The following is a 20978-nucleotide window of genomic DNA, read 5'->3' as shown; positions in this document are numbered from 1 at the left end:
CAATTCTTGCATCTTTACCAGGGATTGACCAACATGAAAGGTAAAATATGACAATACTGACATTTGCTTTTGTCCTGGAGAAGAATATATGCCCACACAGAGACTCAGATTCACTGACAATTTTCATGTCTAGAGTTATTCAAAATTAATAGAAGCCTGAATTTATATTAGGTATTATACTAAGAAAAATTTAATTGAATGGTATATCTAAAATACAGTTTTCAACACTTCCAGTACAACTAAACCCACAAAGAGATTTTAGTAAGAATATGAAAGCCATAGCCTCCATACATACACATTACCTGGAAACGTATGACTGTCATTGTCAAAAGAGACAAATGAGATAGAGGACAAATTCAGCTCCAAGGTCAGATAATCTGTTAACTTGACTTAGAATAAAACTGTTCTCTAAGGGAAATGCTTCAATGACTTGGGTAGATTATTTTATGATAAATCTTAATCAAACAGCCATAGCTTTTTATCAAGTTATGTAATAGTGAGACATAAGAAATCAATTTAGGATAGAATATTTTGAGGAGGCTTTTTTCTTGCAGGGCGTTGGGCAAGAGATGATACAAGGTCAGGTTTTAAATGAACTCATGCCTCACTAAAAGATTAACATCCTGGACAGATTTATCCTTGAGGGTAAAGACTTCTGAAGCATAAGAAAAGGTAAGTTGCAAAATGAGAGTGGAAAACAGAGTGTCAATCAAGTGGCCAGCTAAGATAAGAAGTCACAGTGCTGGGACATGATGATTACAAATATTCATTTGCTTGTGTATGCAATTCTAATAATAGTCACCTGATACTAGTAGCACAAAGCCATGAATATCCTCATTATAAGGGAGGGTCCCTTGAGGTCCTATCAAAAGTATCTCTGTGAGAAACAAAGGACTCAGTCTAACCGAAGAATGACTTCCACATTCCAGATAGAATGTCCACACTATCTAGGTTTTAAGGTTGTCACATAAGGCCAGGAAATTTAAAACATGCTTAACATTTCAAAGAATTCCATGTATCTTTTAGAGTAGAGTTCTTAAGAGAACTCATCAACCAGGGACTGCTTATCTGTTTTACTACAGAGGGATGTCCCATCCCCTGAGACTCGGATTCAGAATCCTCAGTGGGGTCTAAGAATGTGCATTCAACAAATAACTCTAAGACATACTCCTGATTAAGAATCAGAGCAAAAACAACCAAACAAAAAGACAAAACAGAGTATTCTGATGAAAGAGTAAGCAGATTTGGCATTTAGTCTCAGTTCTGGCACACACTAAACATGTCTTCTTAGGGAAGTTCATATGATCTCCAAAGATAATTTTCTCTGCTATAAAATAAGAGTAATAATAGTATCTACTCTTTCTTGGTCATGGGATATATTAGTTATCTATTAGTATATCTCTATAAAAGAGTTATATTAGGTAATTATTGGTGTGCAACAAGTTACTACAAAACCCAGTGGCTTTAAGTAACAAACACTTATTATCTTACAGTTTTCTTTGGTCAGGAATTCCAATGAATCTTGGCTAGGTGCCTTTGGCTCAGTCTTTCATGAGGGGGCAATTAAGGTGTTAACCATGGCTGTGGTCTCCTCTGGGGAGGCATCCACTTCTAAGCTCATTCACAAAGCTTAGGTCAAGCCTCAGGTTTACACTGGCTGTTGGCTGGAAACATCAGTTCCTTGATATGAGGGCCCCTCCTCAGAGCAACTTGTAACATGGCAGCTGGCTTCCCTCAGAGCGAGCCGGTAAGAGAGGAAGACAAAGTGAGCAAGAAGTAACAATCATTTTGTCACCTAGTCTCAGAAGTGATATCCCATCATTTTTGCCATATTCTATCCATTAGAAGTGAGTAACGAGGTCCAGCCCACGCTCAAGGGGAAAGCATTACACAAGGGCATAAACGCCAGGCGGTGGGCACACTAGGAGCCATCTTAGATGCTGCTCACCTCAAGAGATAACATATGTAATGTTCTGAGAAATCAGATTTACGTGGGGAAGTATTCTGCAAATGAAAGTTTTACTCAAAGGCAGAATGGGAATTATGAAAACACGCTTTATGGAGAACATTTAGGGAATCTGCTAAGAAGTGTCACCACCTCCTCACTTGCCTCAGATGTGTCACACTATGGCAGTATTTCGCCATCTTTTTCAGTCTGACACATCCATGAACTTGTTAGTCAAAAAGGGAAGAAAAAAGGGTGAGCAAATGAGGGACCTCATGACCCACGAAGTAACACTCTTGACAATTCATGCTTTATATTTAGCACGGGAAGCAGTAATATAATGGCTATAAGGAGTATGGGAAAAACAAAAAATTCAGGAACTTGATAAAATTGTTTCCTGGAGTTTTTCCCTACAAAGCTGTTTATCAGCTCGACTTGGTGATATGCTCTAATGAAAATTTACATGGTCAGTGTGGCAGCTTGAAAACACAGTCCCAGCGTTCTTGACATTCTTATGTACAAATGGGATCTATGTCCCCTTCCCTTCACTTTGGGTGAGAGTTTGTGACTGCTCTGACCAGGAGAGAGTTACTGCATGACTTCTGAAGCTAAATTAAGAGAAACCACACAGTTTCCATCTGGTCCTCTTGGGCCACCCACTCTTGGAACCCAACCACCATGATATAAGGAAGTCCAAACCAGCCCACATGGCAAGAACCCTTGGAGAGCCCTAAGACTCTGAAGAAAGAAACAGGAATGTTTGGCTAGTCCCAACTGCTCCAGCCCTGATTAGTCGAGCTCCAGCTACCATGTGTCTGCAACCCAAGTCCAGAGCTGCCCAGCCAAGCTCCTACTGAATTCCTGACCCTGAAACCATAAAAGAAAATTTAAAAATGACTATTGTTTATTTAAACTAGGGGGTTTTGAGGTGGTTACATGAGAAAAAATAACCAGAACAACCAGGAAGTAGTCATATATGTTAAAAATAAAGTCATGTATATTAAAAAGATAGTAATATTAAACAGCAATACATTAGGTTAAATTTTTTTCAAAACATTTAAGACAGATCACAGAGGTAAACCATAGCCTCCAGAAAAGTCTTTGGTAAAAATTACTACAACTGGGAAATATTTACAGGTGGTAGGAAGATATAAAAGCTTATGTTAATAGAAAAGTAAATAAACTATCACAAATCACAAATTGGGAAGACAACATTTCTATTTCCATAATAATGTCTCAGATAAAAAATAGATTAAAAATCTAGTCAGCAACTATTTCCTATCATATCAGTTGCAAATCATTTATTATTTCACCAGCATTATGAATATTATCCATTCCCTCAACATCTGCCCTCCATATGCACATCACTGTGCCAGCCATACCCCACTCCCTTTCACGTAGGAATCATGCAGATCATAAAATCTTCAAATTTCTTCTCTCTCCTCTAAAACATTTATTGAAATGTCCCCCTCCTTCCTTCCCCTTCTTCTTTCAGAAAAATTTTTCATCCACATTTCAAGGCACTGTCTCCTCCACCCATCCTCTCTTGCCTGCTCCAATACCTTGATCCATCCAGTATGCCTTTTTGGATCTTTGGTGTCCTTTACCTTACAAATATACTGGTTTTCATTATTTTAAAAATACTTAGATTATAAAATATATGAATATTGATTGTAAAATATCCTCAAGGTGACATCAATTCTCTTCATTGACCCAGTTCTCAAAGTTGTCTACAGGCTCAGTGTCTCCCAATTCTTCACTACCCACTCACCCTTTAAATCCATTGTAACCTGGCTTCACATATTCAGCACTCAAAAGTCACCAACCAGTGGCCTGTCTCAGCTTTCTGAGTATTTGATGCAGCTGATACATAGTTCCTTCTTGAAATTCTTCTACTTTTGACTTTCAAAAAAAGCACTCTCTGGGTCTCTTCATCCTCTGGACATTCTTCCTCCCTTCTCCCTTCTGAACTATCATCTACTCTCCAAAACAGAAACACTTCGATTTTCTTGTATCTATACTAACTCTCATGGTGAACTGACTCAGAAAGCCCAAATCCCTAGCCCCAGCATAATTCCTACTTGGAATACGTATTCAGTTGTACTTCAAACTCCGTGGATTCACTCAATCTAATGCCTGAATTGTAACATATACAGAAATTTAATGTTCCACACAAAGCAAGCATTTCCCAAGTAAGAAAATGCTTCATATAAAGGATGACTTCAATACATGGGAGAATGTTCCTTAATTTAACATATGCAGGCATGAGAATTCTCATTTAATACTATTATCATTAAACCCACCCAAGTTGCTACTCCCTCTGCCTCAAATGCTCTGATCCCTGTTATTTGTGAGTTTGGTGCCCTTACAAACTTCAGTGAACAAGTATCACCTCTGAGAGAAAACTCCCCAGAACATGGTATGTAAAATGGCATCTCTCAGAATAGCACTTAAGAAACACATTATATATTTATTTTCTCACTGTCTATCTTTCCTTACAGGAATATCAGTTCTATGAGAGCAGGAATGTTATTTTGTGTACTGCGGTCTCCTCAAACCATGAAAAGATTATTTAGCCCAGAGTAAGCACGTAATAAATATCTGTTGCATAAATGAATAACTTAGAAAATGAATGATTTAATTAAAGTGTTCTCATTTTCCATTTTATAGAAAGTTTGTGGTACTCCAATGCAAAAACACTGAAGTAAAAAAAGTTTTTTCACTATGTGAGTTAATTCAAATCTCTGGGTCACAAACAGGTTGTCTTTTAATAGAAGTTTCTTTTTAAGCAGTAATGTGATTAGCTATTCTATAGATGGATATCCCACTGTCTTAGCTTTCATGTAAGACTAATGACCTTACTGGAGTTTGCTACCAACATTTCCATTCGCTTAGAAGCATAGAACTTTCTTTATTAGAACATCCATCTAATGTCTCCACACATGAACCACTCAATGTTTATTTTTGCAACATCTTCATTTTCACTGGATCTCTTCTGAACACTTTTCTTCCACATAGACTTTTTCTTTTCATAGAACTATTGACCAGGGAGGACCTTAAGATGTTATTAGTCCAGGGTTTTTCAACCTTTCTTTCAGCAGTGGGATCTGTTTCACATGCAAAATCTTAATAGAAGCAGAGCCAAGAGTGGACAACCTAGTGCATCCCTCTGAGGCTATACCCACCTTCACTCCAGCATCACCAAAACATCAAGGAGAATCACAGGTCTCCTTTGAATAACCATGGAAAGTCTAACCTTTCTTAATAAACCCATGTGTGTTTTCTGTGTTGACTCTTACACTTTTGGGGCAGGAAATCTTTCTTTTCCTCTGGGCTAAAAGCATTTACTGGGCACATACAATGTGCCACAAACTACATGAGCAGTGTGCAGAACATGCTGGGAACAAGCAAGGAAGGGAATCTGGCTTCATAACCCACCACCCCTACCCGCTGAACAGACCTGAGCTGAAGTATTATCTTGCTCCAGGGAGTGATTTTCTTTTTCTGTTCTTACCCTTCATTTCTCTTCTGGTCACCCTTCCCTTGATTTGTGTCACTGTACTGATTTCTCCCCTGGTCTAGCCCTCCAATCCCCCAAAACATGAACATCCCCTACAAGGTAGGCAGTGGTCCACTGCATTTCCCTCTACCTTCTTATGATTCAAGAACTAATACGATGTGGGAACCAAGATTGTCTCTTTTGGGTGAATGGCTCCTTGATTCCCATGCATCTCCCTGATTTTGTTGTGTATGAGTTATATACTGGACATGTCCATCTGAGGTCACCGCCGCTATCACATAAAGTCCAGTACCTTGAGTTCTCTTCTTCCTCTCCCTCCAGTGGTACTCCTTTTCAATGTTCCCATTATTTTCAATGACATCGTTGATCACTTAATTCCCCAAATTTGAAGCTTTTAAGTTATCTTTGACTCTTTTTCTCATCATTTATATCCAAGATGTGTAACAATCGTTTTGCAACATCTTTCTGACCTGGTTTCCTGGAAGCTATTCAAATGTAGCTCAGCTGACCATATTCTCGAAGCAAGTAGGGGCTATGTTTGTTGGTTTACCACCATAGTCACAGTGACTGTCACATAAAGTGCCTAATAATCTTGCTGAATGAATGAATAATTAAATGTGGTAAAAATATGCAATGATTACCGTAGCATAAAAACTGCAAGCAAATTATCTAGTAATACAGAAATGTTGGAGTTTCTCTATTTGGGCACATTTGTAAGATATTATAGTATAATTAAAATAACATTTTCAATTACATATTAATGGCTTGGAAATGGCTCTCTATTTCCTGTTAAAGAGAAGCTAAACACAAAACCATAAATTTATCATGAACTCAATTGTGAAAATCTAGAAAAGGGAATACAAAAATGTTTAATGTTGGTTATATCTCAGTGGTGATTTTTTTCTCATACGTTTCTTTTACTTATATACAGTTGATTCTCTGAAAAAGATTTTTCGCCATGTAAATGACTATGCCTATAGATGAAGCTTGAAGGAAACAAGTACAAATTAAGAGGTACTTGTTCCAGGGTGGGAGGTAGAGTATTATAATCTATTGTCCCTATTTGTTTTTCTAAAATTGATTTAAAAATTGTAGCTTAATATTTTCAATGTTCTTCACCCTAACAGGTGTTGTTTAATTCTCTACTTCTGCCAGTCTTTATACAGTTGAATTTATCATTTTATCCACATTGTATATTTCTTTTCTAGAGACGGGGTCTCACTCTGTCACGCAGGCTGGAGTGCAGTGGCACAATCATAGCTCACTGCAGCCTTGAACTCCTGGGCTAAGTGATCCTCCCACCTCAACTTTCCAAGTAGCTGGGACCATAGGCACATACTACCACACTGTACTGTATTATTTTTGTTAAAATGCTCTTAACATTACTCTCCTGTTATACTGTTTTATTACATTATGGATAAAATGAGATTTAAAAATACTAAACTATCAAAGTGCAGTCTTGAACATTCAACCTCACCTTCCACCCACTCCTATACCACTGCCTGATGTCTCCTTTTCCCTCTTATTTTCACTTCAAAATCTTATACTTTCTTTAGTGCTTAATACAAATTTTCTTAGCAATTTTTCTTTAAACACCCATAATTTATACATAATACAGTAACATCAAGCATTTAAAAAAATTAAAAATGGTTACAGCTACAAGACAATATTGAAATCACTTAGTTTAACTTCCTCCTTTACAGATGCAGAAACTACTGTCCAATTTGAAAAGGTGGCTTGCTGGGGGTAGTGGGTGAGGGCGGGTAGAAAACAAAAACCTTGGATTAGAGCACAACATTTAACTCTTAGCGTTCAGTATTTTAACTAATATAGAATCCACCGTTATTGCTGGGTCTCACATCTGCTGACCAATTGCTCAGCAATTATTCATGATTCCATTCCTGAAGTATGCCTTGCCCACCTGCCTTGATTTTCATGGTCATTACTACAGGCTGACACCATGACACATAATTCTTTTATGTCTTCATTGTACCTAGTGCTACAGAGACTACAGGCTGACACCATGACACATAATTCTTTTATGTCTTCATTGTACCTAGTGCTACAGAGTAACTGCTGAAGTAGTATGGCAGAAATAACCTAAAGCAAATCCAGTAATGGTAATGATGATACAAATCTGTGACAGCAATATTCCATCCTAACCATGTGGCTGTTATAATACATCCACTTGAATGGTAATAACCATCAAGGAGGTGATATCAGCTTTCCCTTACATTCTACAAGGCTTCCCTAACCAATCATGAAGCTGCAGGATTATGGTTCCAGTTCTAAAGACCCTGGAATCGGAGCCATGTGGAGGAAACAAGGACAGGAACTGAATCTGCAAACTATACCTCCACAGTCAGTTTAATGCAAAGCACAGCGGCTTAAGGAATAATCCAACTCAAAAGCCAGACTGAGTACTATAGTAGCTTTCAAAGTTGCATGTGGCTCATTACACACACACACACACACACACACACTCACACACAAACACACTCAAATTCTGAATGGCATATATTGATGAAGAGGACTATTTTAACAATTGTACCAGTCAAATAATGCACAATAGTTTAACAACCAGTGGATGAAATTTCATTATAAGCCAGGAGACCCAGGAGACAAGGAAAGGTGTGATTTGTCAGGGTTATCAACGTTCAAATGCAGAGAGAAAAAGAACAGATCTGAAAAACAGAATCATTCCAGCTCCTCTGTCATGACTGTCACACAATGGGCCATGAGCCACAGAGACCCAGAAGCATCTGCCAAAGGTTTCAGACAGCTGTGCAAGCATTCCCTGCCATTTGTTCAGCTGTTTTGAAGTGAGAGAGAAACATATTCCCAGGGTTGTACAAGTACCCTTCTTTTTCAATTCAGAATAATATGTTTAGAATACAAATTTTTTATTAGTTGTGATTTTGTCACTCTGAATATATATTCACCTGGATGAATGCATTTGCTGCTTATTTTGCAACTAATGGAGGTGAATAGAATACACCATGCCACATTAAAAACTGGGTAATGCTAAAGAAGTGAAAATAAATACTCTTTCCACCTAAGAGCAGAGTTACTGCTTGGAGAATTAGGTGCCTATTTACCTGCCAATTCAAAATGTCTTGAATATAATTCATCAAAATTCCATCATCTTCCTTCCTTTCTTGCATGTATCACAATGTCAAGGAAAATGATTTAACAGTGAAATTTCAGATTGTAGCATATCCCAGCTCACCTTATATACATATGAACATGGTTATTATGTTCCAGAAATGAATTCACTGAACTTGTTAAAATTGTGAACTGCTCCCTTCAACCAAAGGAAGAAAAAAAGAGAATAGGGAAAAAAGAACCTTAGAAAGAAAAACATAAAGACTTTTACTAACCGATCTTTATTTCCTTTCACATATTTTATAAAGACTCAGTGTGTGGGAGCTAATTATATTAGCTGTCTTGGGTAACAAGCTATTAATTTTGTGCTTCAAAGTTATTAACTACCTTTCTATGTACAGTTCACAGGCAAATGAATGAACTTAATCCTTGTATTAAAACACAAAACAAACCAAATAATCCCATGTTTCATGACTTTACAAAGTTGATTATCTCCTTGGCAATGCTTTACCAGAGGCCAGATATACAATTGCCACTTTAGAAAAGAGTCTCTGGCAGTTTATACTACAGGCCTGTTAAAGTGGATCTAATTACTATTTAATAGTCATTCCTCCCAAGATTAGACATAAAAGGTCACAGAGGAAAAGCATTTTTTTTTTCTCAGTGATTTAACCATACTGGGTTTATAAAATTTCCTCCTCCAAGGATCACACCAGTCTTGAGAGAGTCTACTTGTGTGATAATATAGCTAATATTTGCAAATTTAAACAATTCAGTGGAGAAAATAAAATATTTAAGTTGATAACATTTAATGTCAAAAGAATTCTTTAGATTTCTCTTTATCTGGCTTTGTCTAATTCTTCAGGGCAAAACATAGCATCATTTAATTCTACAGCAGTAATTTTATATAGATGATGATCTTCATTTCCTAATTATCAAAGGACATTTTATTGTAAGAGGCATTAGACATGTAAAATAACTACAGTAAATGAAAGAATTATTGCCATAAATCATGATGCTTATCTGCATTTGAGGGTCTCTGTACTCTAACAAGAGCAATGGTAGTTTAGTGTATCAATAATCCCATGGGAAATTTAAAATGATTTATTTATCTGACTTATTAAAAGCCTAGTCATAGCTCAAAGGTCTCTGAATACCCATAAAATTGGGAAACTAATGCCATAAAATTAAAAAATAATAGCAAAAATTTCATACAAGAAATAATCCAACAAGATATTACCCAACAGAAATTACTTCTGTTAAACAAAGATTTCAAATGAAAGCTTTGACAAAGCTATGTCAATAAATTATGCTTTTATAAAACTCACCTTTTTGTTCTGTTGCTGTATAATATATCTCAGTTATATAACAATTTCTTTTCCTTTATAATTCAACCTAAAGTAATATGTAAGTTGAGCTCTTTCTTTTCAGTATAATTCCCTTTTTAAAGTTTTCTGCTTTCAAATACAGTACAGTAATAATTCTACCATAAATCAGTAATTTGACAAGTTACATTATTGTTGTTCAACAGCTATCAGAGGCTGAAAAGTGGAGTCTAAAGTTCAGAAAATTATCAGAATATAATTTGGTTATACTATTATTATCATTATACATGAGCTTTATGTAAATAAAAATGCTAAATATTTGGAGATATGTCTTTGCATAAAAATTTATATAAACTACAGCCCATTAAAGTTCTCTCTTGGCCATTTTTGTCAATACAAAATATATGGAACAGTTTATATTTTTAAGAAACTTATTGTGAAAAAGTTATTTAAAATAATTGAATAAAAGTAAAGTCTTGAGTAGAACAAAAAACCAAACATGTTTATACAAACTGTACATTTATGCTAACAGCCATAAAATTGAATAATTTAATCGTGGATAGGAAAGTACAATTTTGTATTATTTCCATAGACTCAGTACAATCTCAATAAAGTGAATAAGAGATTTTCTTGGGAGTAGGTTTCATGAGTTTAAATGAAGGGATGGATATGAACAAATAGTCTACATCTATAAAAATTAAATTTTATTGAAATAAGGACTTCTTATTCTAATAATTATTCTTAACTAACAGGATGATTGTGCAATGAAAGTTTCTGGCAGCATTTTATTATAATGAAAAACTGAAAACAAGCTATCAATATGGGGCTGGTTAAGTAAATAATGTCTCATCCATATAATGAAACACTTCCCAGTCATTAAGAATGATAGGTTTCTGAATTTATTTTTCATTGAAAGGTGTTAATTACAAATTGTTTAGTGGAAATAGCTGGTTCCAAAAGAATATACAAGATATGATTCAATTTTTTCAAATACATATAGAAAAACTCTATAGAAGATATATGTCCAAATACTAGATGTGGTTTTCTCTGGGTAGTAGGACAAAGGGTGATTTTTCAGCTTTTTTTCATTTTGACACTGTAGGAATTTTCCATTATAAAAATACACTATTTTTATAATCATGTTAACATTTGTGTGTGGGAATTTATACATATTGAATAAAATAAAATTGAAAGGAAGTGGATACAGATGGTTTCTGAAAGAACAAAACCAACAGGACAACACTTTGAGGATGGTTTCTATGTTAGGGACTTTGCTGATTGTCCATTTGTTGTTAGCACACAGCGACTCACAGGGATATAGGCTACTGCATAGAGGAATCACATGTGCTTTAATTTCCTAGTTTCCAGTCTTCTTTTCTTACCATTTTATTGCTGACATTAAGGGAATACAATAGTGATGGGGCCTCAGTTTGTATCGCTACGTTCTACTGCAGATTGTATTCTTAATATGATAGCTGTATTTAAACGTTGCGCTTACTTAATTTGTCTAACTCTGATTTCATGTTTTAAATTATAGGTTTATATGAATATTAGCTCTACTGGAAGCTCTACTGAATATCTGGCATAAAATGATGTAATTAAAATAACAACGATTTGTATATATGTAAAGTATTTACTATATGCCAAGCAGAGTCCTAAAAGAACTATATTAGTCAATTATTCTTCAAAGCCACCTATGAAGAAGGTGCTGTTATTATCCCTCATTTCACCCATGAGAAAACTAAAGCTCAGAGAACTAATAAGCCCCTTGCTTAAAGTCCCATGGCTAAAACATGACAGAGAAGGGTGATAAGCCCAGATAGTCTGGCTCCAGAACACTTACATTTTACACATTTTCAAAAGTTTAAATAAGCTTTTAATTTTAGAATAGTTTTAGATTTACAGGAAAGTTACAAAACATAATACAGAGAGCTCATGTATACCACTCGCCCAGTTTCTCTCTCTAATTAAAATCTTACATAATATGGTACAACTGACACAGCTAAGAAATTCACATTGGTATATTGATATTAACAACATACTTAATAATGTTTTTCCTTTCTAGTATTTCATCCAGGAGACCACATAACATTGACTTGTCATGTCTCCCCAGTCTCCTGTGGTTTATGCCAGTTTCCCGAACTTTCCTTGTTTTTGATGACCTTGACAGTTTTGAAGACTACCAGTCATGTATTTTGTAGAATGTCTGTCAGTTTTGGCTTGTGTGATATATTTTTTGTGATTTAACTGGGGCTATGGTTTGGGGAGGAAGACCACAGAGGTGAGGTGCCATTATCAACACATCATATCAAGGGTACAGCCCACTAACATGACTTATCTTTGATGATGATAGCCTTGAAAACCTGACGGAAGTACTGTTTAACTGGTGTCTCCACTGTAAAGTCACCATCTTCCCACTCTCCCTGCTCTGCTTTATGGAAGAAAGTTATCAAAGCTCACAGTCAAGGGGGACGGGGGAGTTAAGCTCCACCTACATGATGGGGAGGGAGTATCTATATAGCAATTATTTGGAATTATTCTGTCAGAACCTTCATTTTTAACCCATTACTTTCTCTATATTGCCTCTCCCACCCCATTCCTTCTTACCACTTTGACATGTTATTCACGTACAGTAGTATAAAAACATAATTCTTAACTGATTTCCTGCTTTTTCAAAGGTCCAAAATATGTTAGAACCAAATGTGACAACAAATTTTGTTTTAAATTATTTTTCCACAGACTGCTGTAGAATTTGTCACTAAGTGACTAATTAGAAACCAATTTTTCTTAGAAATACTCTGTAAAGGACTTACCAGAAATATTCGTTCAAGTTGATCCTGAATGTCTTTCATTCCTGGAAAAGCAGCAACTCCTTGGATCATTTCAACAAAGATGCAACCTACTCCCCTAGAGAGAGAAGAAAGAATCGTTACAAAACTTCAATATATTCTGCTTAGGAAAACTAAATCTGGAATTAGAATATCCACTCCTACAGAAGAGAAGCGGTGAGTAAACTGTTTCCTTTTTCCCCTCTAACTTTTATTTTAGATTCAGGGGTACACGTGCAGGTTTGTTACATGGGTATATTATGTGATTCTGAGGTCTCAGGTATGAATGATCCCATCATCCAGGTACTGAACGTAGTACCCAATAGTTTGTTAACCCTTGCCTCCCTTCCTTCCTCCTCCTTCTAGTAGTCTCTAGTGTCTATTGTTGCTTTTTATGTTGTGAGTACCTGATGTTTAGCTCCCACTTATGAATGACAACATGCAGTATTTGGTTTCCTGTTCCTGTGTTAATTCACTTAGCATAATGGCCTCCAGCTGCATCCATGTTGCTGCAAACAACACTATTTCATTCTTTTTTTTTTTTTTTGAGATGGAGTCTTGCTCTGTCCCCCAGGCTGGAGTGCAGTGGCGCGATCTCTGCTCACTGCAAGCTCTACCTCCTGGGTTCACGCCATTCTCCTGTCTCAGCCTCCCGAGTAGCTGGGACTACAGGTGCCTGCCACCATGCCTGGCTAATTTTTTTGTATTTTTAGTAGAGACGGGGTTTCACCGTGTTAGCCAGGATGGTCGCGATCTCCTGACCTTGTGATCCGCCCGTCTCGGCCTCCCAAAGTGCTGGGACTACAGGCATGAGCCACCGCACATGGCCAATACTATTTCATTCTTTTTTTATGGCTGCATAGTATTCCATGGTATGTATGTACCACATTTTCTTTCTCTAGTCCATTGTTGATGGGCACCTAGGTTGAGTCCATCTCATTGTTATTGTGAATAGTGCTGTGGTGAATACGTGAGTATGTGTATCTTTTTTTTAGAATGATTTGTTTTCTTTCAGATATATACCCAGTTATGAGATTGCTGGGTTGTATGACAGTTCTGTTTTAAGATCTTTGAGAAATCTCCAAACTGCTTTCCATGGTGGCTGAACTAATTTATTATACATTCTCATGAACAGTGTATGAGCATTCCCTTTTCTCTGTAGCCTTGCCAGCATCTGTTGTATTTTGACTTTTTAATAATAACCATTCTGACTGGTGTGAGGTAGTATCTCATTGTGGTTTTGATTTGCATTTCTCTGATGATTAGTGATGCAGAGCATTTTTTAGTATGTTTGTTGGCTGCTCGTATGTCTTCTTTTGAGAAATGCCTGTTCATGTCTTTTGCCCATTTTTAATGGAGTTACTTGATAAGCAGTATTTTTAATGAGCACCATGAGCTATCTAGGTGACGTACACCTAGATCCCATAACCTACCCACTCCCCCTGCCCCCATCTACTGCCCTGAAAGAACTCTAAATAGATGCAACTATACTGGGCTCAGAAAAGAGTGGAAACCAATAAAATAGCACATTCTAGTGCTATTACTTATAGAATCCAGTTAAGTCCTTAGCCTGATGTATAAGAGTCCTCAAGTCATGTTCAAGTATCCTTTTCCAATTATATTTCACAAACTTATAAAGTATTGTAGTCTCTAGACATTCAGTGGTTCTCAATCCTCTTTGCATTAGAATCATCTGGAGAAGGTTAAGAAACTGCATATCTCTGACCACAAACCCCAGAGATCCTGTTTCATTTTATCTAGGTTGGAGCCCAGGCATCCACATGGGCTGCTCAGATGATTCAGGGCAGCTACAGTGAGAATCGCTGAGCCAGACTGATCTACCTGAGTGCCAGGCATAAAACTGTACCATTTGGCTCAAATTGCTTCACTATCTAGAGTACCCTCCTTCTTCGCCTATTTACTCTTGATAGCAAATTCCAACTCAACCACTATAATCCTGTTTAAATGCATCTCCTCTGTGATGCCTTTCATGGATCTTTCAGCAGACAGAATTGCTCCCCTTATGAGCTTATGGATTACTCTATGAGCCATCTACCATGCTCGACATTCTTTCGCAGCTTGACCTGCCATGCTCACAGTTCCCACCTAGCAAGTTAGTCCAGTAAATCAAAAGACCTTGCCTCCCAGACCACTGCAGCTTGCACCAAGCCCAACAGGAATAACCAATCCATAGTATGGACAGACAGCCAATTAGATACTTCTGCCGGGACTCTGGAGAATGGGGCAGTATGGTAAGAAACTAGCATATGTAGATGGCTAAGTCACATTAGTGTCAGGGAAGTAGCATGAATGGCTACACATTCCTGCAGATGAAGTCCCCTGAAATGACTTGGTTCTTGACTTCTGGAGGCTTAGATGTTCAGATGATCCAGTGTTTTGTTTTGTTTTGTTTTGTTTTGTTTCTAGAACTCTCTACCTCCTGGAAATTCTCCAGATTTTTAACATTGGCTCTATTTGAATGGGTTTATGTTTCTTGCAAGTATTCTAATAAAACCACGAACATATTGGGACACTTCTTCCACTCCTGCACCCCCATACTCAATTTAGGGCAAGCAAACACTTGTGTCTTTAATTTACTTCATAAACCTAGGGGTTAAGACCAAGTGACCTACTTCTCTAAAGCTACTCCAGTTGTTATCACAATTGTATATAAACAATGTTTTGAATTAAAGAAGTAATGTATTTGCAGAAATTGCTTCCCTATTGTACCACATGATTCTTATTCAAAGTAAACACCAATAGTATACAGTGTTATAATGACTAAAAACAAACAAATGCCATTTTATATCATAGGATGTAATTTTATTTAAGTAGTAAAGAACTAATTTCAAACCAGTGTTCTAGGTAGATGGGTTTTTACACAAGTTGTTTTCATTTTAGATTTGAGAGACAACATAGGTATCAAGAGAATTATTTTATTAAGATATTAGAATGCAATGATGTGCTTATAAATATTAGGGCTTCAGATGTCTGGTTAAGTCTACTTAAATTTTTAGTACGGTGGCTTTCCAAATTTTTCTGTCAGGAATTCTTTTCTAAGACTATTTTCTTCTTATTTTAGTTTATACAATAAAATACCTTGGATCTTAAATAGCTACCTGCACCTTCCTTTTTTACACTCAGTGTATCCTCTCTGCTCTCTACTTTTTGGCCTTCCTTTTTCCCACCATAAGCTGCAGTTCTGAGTGTGAAGAGCCTCAGCAGAAGCCATAGCCACCCCCATTATGTACACAGCTAGGCTGGCTAGAAAAATAACTATTACATTGCCAGAACTACTTATAGAATTTATTTTAGCACTACTTGTGTTTAGTCTATATCATCTCCATAATATGTTACTTAGAATGATTAAAAGACAAATCTATTCTATGCTGCAATTCTATTCAGTTGGAATGAAATGATGTAGCATTTTTATAAGCTCTTATCTGCTTAGCTGGCTAAGACTTGGATTTTCATTTCTAGTGGATGTTTCCTATGACGTCATCTTTTTCAAACATGCTCGAGGATGTACTAAAGAAGCTGAGAGAATTATACTTAAAGGACTCACAACAAGAGATAAAATGTACAAGAAAATTAAAAAGTATGTGTATAAAACATATCAACATATGAATATAACAGAATTCCTTATTACTGGACTGCCTTATTGCCACACAGCAATAAGAGCTCTTCAATTTAATATGAAGAAACTAGTGTCTGCTTTCCCCCCACCTCTTTCTACCCTCCATTAGCCCCATGCTCCCTCTCTCAATGGATTAAATTGACTGCACTGAATGGTTTACTGAGAAAAAAAATTCATCTGCTTAAGCACTATAATTTATGATATATAATCTTATATCAGGAAATGTCTCCTTTGTTCCTTCTTTTGAGAATTTGAATAATTATGTAATTATCACCCACTTAGTCTAAATTTTTCAAGAATAAGAACTGGTCACAAAAGCTTACAATCAAAGGTGTCACAGGATGCAGTATGCTCAAACTCTTATTTTAGGATTAGTTACCCAGTAAGGTAATACATAAACACCCACCTATGCTCACACATTTTTCTATTTTTTGAACTCAACATTTCCCAATTTAATTTATGTCTCAGGTATATGAATGATTTTTTTCATCACAATTCAAAACAAAATTTTAAGCAGAATTGACAATTTGTTGTCAGTACAAGCAGAGACAGACAATCTTTTAGGATTGAAACTTACATAATTTGGGAGTTTTTGTTATTAAAAAGATTATAAAATTATAACTAAAAAAATGGCTATAGAAGTGCATTTAAAATGAGCAAATCAGTCAAAAGCAATCACAAAATTTTAAAAGGTAACAAATGCAACAAACAGTCTGACATTCAGGAAAACAAAGTAAAATTAACTATCTGACATTTATCATTATCTGACAAATTTCTCTAATACATTTATTTCTATAATTTGGCTGTATAATCTTCAATTAAGTCTTCTTATGACAATTCTACAGTAACATTTTCTGTAACGAGAATGTAGAGATAATTTAGACTTTCCTCTAGCATGACGATGAACATTGGTTTGGGGGTATGTCTAATAGTTTAGAATTTTTTTCTCTGCTTCACTTCTCATTGTTCGTAAGGTCGGTAAACTTTTAGGACTGTTGTTAATTTTGGGAAAACTTCTATCAACTTTCTGTTTAGTAGATCTATATGGTATAAACACAGTAATTATAACGTATTCCATTTTACACAGTTCCTTGAGCATGAGAGGACATGCTTACCTCAGAGTGTAGGGTTAGGAAGGATGCTTAACGCCTGAAAGGGCTAGAAAAGTTGAAGCTGGTTGGATTATGGAGTGATGGCACTGGGAATGGAAATATTCCAGGTTGAGAAAACAGAGTCTAGTAAACTGAAGAATCTTTAGAGAGCTAACTGCTGTTGTTATGGCTCTATGTGGACAATAGAAGAAAAGTCTAAAAAGAGAGCAGAAGTCCATATTCCATTCTAAGAATGGCTTCTACATTTTTAAATGGTTGAAAAATATCGAAAGAAGAATATTTGGTGACATACGAACATTACCTGAAATTCTAATTTCAATATCTATGAATAAGCTTTAATGAAAAACAACCACACTCATTCATTTAGGTACCATGTATGGCTGCTTTCTCATCGAAATGACAAAGATAAGTAGTTGCTACAGAAACCACATGTCCTGCAAAACCTACATTTTTTACCATCAGGCCCTTTACAAAGTTTGTGAAATCTTGACCTATGTTATGCTCCACTTGCAAAAAAACACAATAATAGAAAAAGTCATACTAATCAGTTATGGAAAAACAAAGAAAAGAAAGTATAATATATCATGATTATTTGTAAATAATAGAAATAATCTCTTAAATATGATCTGTTTTTTCACTACTGTCTTTAGCAGTTTTCCTGTAATAAAATATGCCTTAGAAGTTTCCTGCATTTTGTCAAAAATTAGTAGATATTCTAAACTTGATTGAAGATATTTTAATCTCTAAAGTATTTTGAACTGAGAAATAAATTAGGAGAAAATATGTGGAGTGATTTTTTTAATAAGGTGCTATCTAACTTTTTCCCAAAATAGATAATTTTGTGAGCTGATATGCATCATGGGAGGGAGAAGAGGGATAGGTTATTTTACTAACTTAAAGTTTTTATTTTATATTTAGAAGACAGGGAAGCATTATATCATGCTTGGAAGTACTACCTTTTATTTTATAAACATTAGAAAATTTTACCTATTAAATTTAATTTTATAAACATAAGGGGTTTCCAAAATTATGCTGGGTTCTATCCTAATTTCAGAGGATTTTCTTTCCACCTGTTTTCTTTCTACTCATACCCTACATACGTGCCCCTATATCGACAAAAGGAGAGGAATCCAATTTTTAAAATTATCCCTTGAACTTTTTTCTTCCTTAAAATCAACAGTAGAGGCTCGAGGCAGTGAAGCCTCCGCATGCTGTGCGGCTGACCTCTATCTCCAAATTTACATCATGTCTGTATCCACATTAGATTTCCTCTGCTCCAGCCATGCTGTTCCACTGTCCTCTCCTAAAACTTGCCACACTCTTTCCCATCCCAAGATCTCTGCACGGATTGTTGTTCCCTTTGCCCTCTCTGTACCTGGTTAATTGCTTTTTGCTATTCAGAGGTCAGTGCAAATAGCTCCACTTAGAAATGTCTTTCCCAGCGACCACCTATAAGGCAGTTCCTCCTTACAGCCCCAGCCCCAGTGTCTCACCCTATTTTTCCTAGTTTGTCCCCTTTATAACACTTAAAAATGTTAAATTGTGTTTGGCTTTTGGGGGTGTGTCTCCTCTAGATGGAACATCTACAAGATCGGGACAAGGTTGTGGACATCACCTTATTCCCAGGACATAGCAGAGTGTCAGGCACATAATAAGGGCTCAAAAATATTTGCTGAATGAATCGAAAGCAACACGACCCTCCTTCCCCCTGGCTATTCTGTGTGAGCTCAGCTTAGTGACTTGTTTCCAAAGAGTACAGCATGGAAGTAGGAGTGGAGAGGGAGTGTGGATGCAAATTTACAATGGAGAAAACTGGCAAACACTATCTCAGCCATGTGACAAAGGTTAACATCATGAGTGACATGTCATGATTTCCCGTAAGACTGATGTTTATGGTCTTTTAAAAAAAATAAACATAGAAATTGATCTCCTAGTCTTAAAGCTTGAAACATATTTGTCTTATCTGAGTTCGTTTCTCAGGAAACCAACCCTCAGAACTGACAGCATTATGGAACTGAAACTCCTCTTCCTTATTCCTCCCTAATTCCTCTTTCCCCGCATGTAGCTACATTCCTTCCGCATTATATAAACCCCCAATTTTAGTCAGCTGGGGAGATGGGTTTGAGACTTTTCTCTTGTCTCTTCAGCTGCAGCACCCAAATAAAGGCTTCTTCCCTGGCAAAACTCATTGTCTCAGTCATTGGCTTTCTGTGCAGCAGGCAAATGGAACCTAGGCTGAACCCCCAGTGTTTTGATAATGGTGCCAAGAACACTCAAGGGAAAATGACAAGCTCTTCAAGAAATGCTGCTGGGAAAATTGGATATTCTTATCCGGAAGAACAAAACTAGATTCCCACGCTTCACCTTAGACAAAATCACCTCAAAATGAATTAAAGACTTAAACATAAGGCCCAAAACGGTAAAACTACTAGAAGAAAACACAGGACATTGATCTGGGAAACGATTTCATGAATAAGACATCAAAAGCACAGGCAACAAAAGTAAAAATAAACAAATGGGATTATATCAAACCAAAAGCTTCTACACTAAAAGCTTCTGTACAGATGGGAGATAAGTCTCAAATCCATCTCCCCAACCGACTTAAATTGAGTTTTTATATAGTGGGGTAGGAATGTAGCTACACGCAGGAAAACAGAGTGAAACAATCAACAGAGTGAAAGAACAACCCACAAAATGAGAGTAAATATTTGCAAACTACTTGTATGACAATAGATTAACATCTAGGATATATAAGGAACTCAAACTTCTCAACAATGATAAAACTATCAATCTTATTTAAAAATGGGCCGATGAGGACAGGTGCCATGGTTGATTACCTGTAATCCCAGCAGTTTGGAAGCTGAGGTGGGAGAATCACTTGAGGCTAGGGAGTTCAAGACCAATCTGGGTAACACAGCAAGACTGTCTCCACAAAAAGTTAAAAAAAAAAATTTGCCAGGCATGGTGGGACTGCACCTGTAGTAGTCTCAGCTACTGGGGAGGCTGAGGTGGGAGGACTGCTGGAACCCAGGAGATTGAAGCTGCAATGAGCTATGATTGCACTACTGCACTCCACCCTAAGTGACAGAGAAGGACCCTGTCTCTTTAAAAGAAAAAAAAGCGGGGGGACAAATGATCTGAACAGACATTTTCCAAAAGAAGACACACAAATGGCCAAGAAACATGAAAAAGTGCTCAACATCACTAAACATCAGGGAAATTCTCATCAAAATCACAATAAGACATTTCACTCCAATTATGATGGCCATTAAGAAAAAGATAAAAAATAACAAATGCTGGCAAGGATGTGGAGAAAAGGGAACTCTTATATACTGTTAGTGGGAATGTTCTATGGAGAACAGTATGGAGGTTTCTCAAAAAACTACAAATAGAACTACCATATGAGCTAGCCATCCCACTACTGGGAATTTATCCAAAGGAAAAGAAATCAGTATATTGAAGAGACATTTGCACCCCATGTTCACTGCAGAACTATTCACAATAGC

At 36.5% G+C, this 20978-nt stretch overlaps 1 protein-coding gene across 4 annotated transcripts in view; it reads right to left on the bottom strand.

Annotated features, from left to right (window-relative positions):
• CDK14 (cyclin dependent kinase 14) overlaps positions 1-20978 on the bottom strand; it is a 614270-nt gene that overhangs the window by 213641 nt on the left and 379651 nt on the right. For all 4 annotated transcript variants that reach the window (NM_001287135.2, NM_012395.3, NM_001287136.1 and 1 more), the window contains one exon: positions 12709-12802. In NM_001287135.2, the coding sequence (NP_001274064.1) occupies positions 12709-12802 (94 nt within the window). The remainder of the gene's footprint in view (positions 1-12708; positions 12803-20978) is intronic.

The sequence above is a fragment of the Homo sapiens genome, chromosome 7 (genome assembly GCF_000001405.40).
Source record: "Homo sapiens chromosome 7, GRCh38.p14 Primary Assembly".
Lineage (NCBI taxonomy): Eukaryota > Metazoa > Chordata > Mammalia > Primates > Hominidae > Homo > Homo sapiens.
This window is presented reverse-complemented; position numbering and strand designations above follow the sequence as displayed.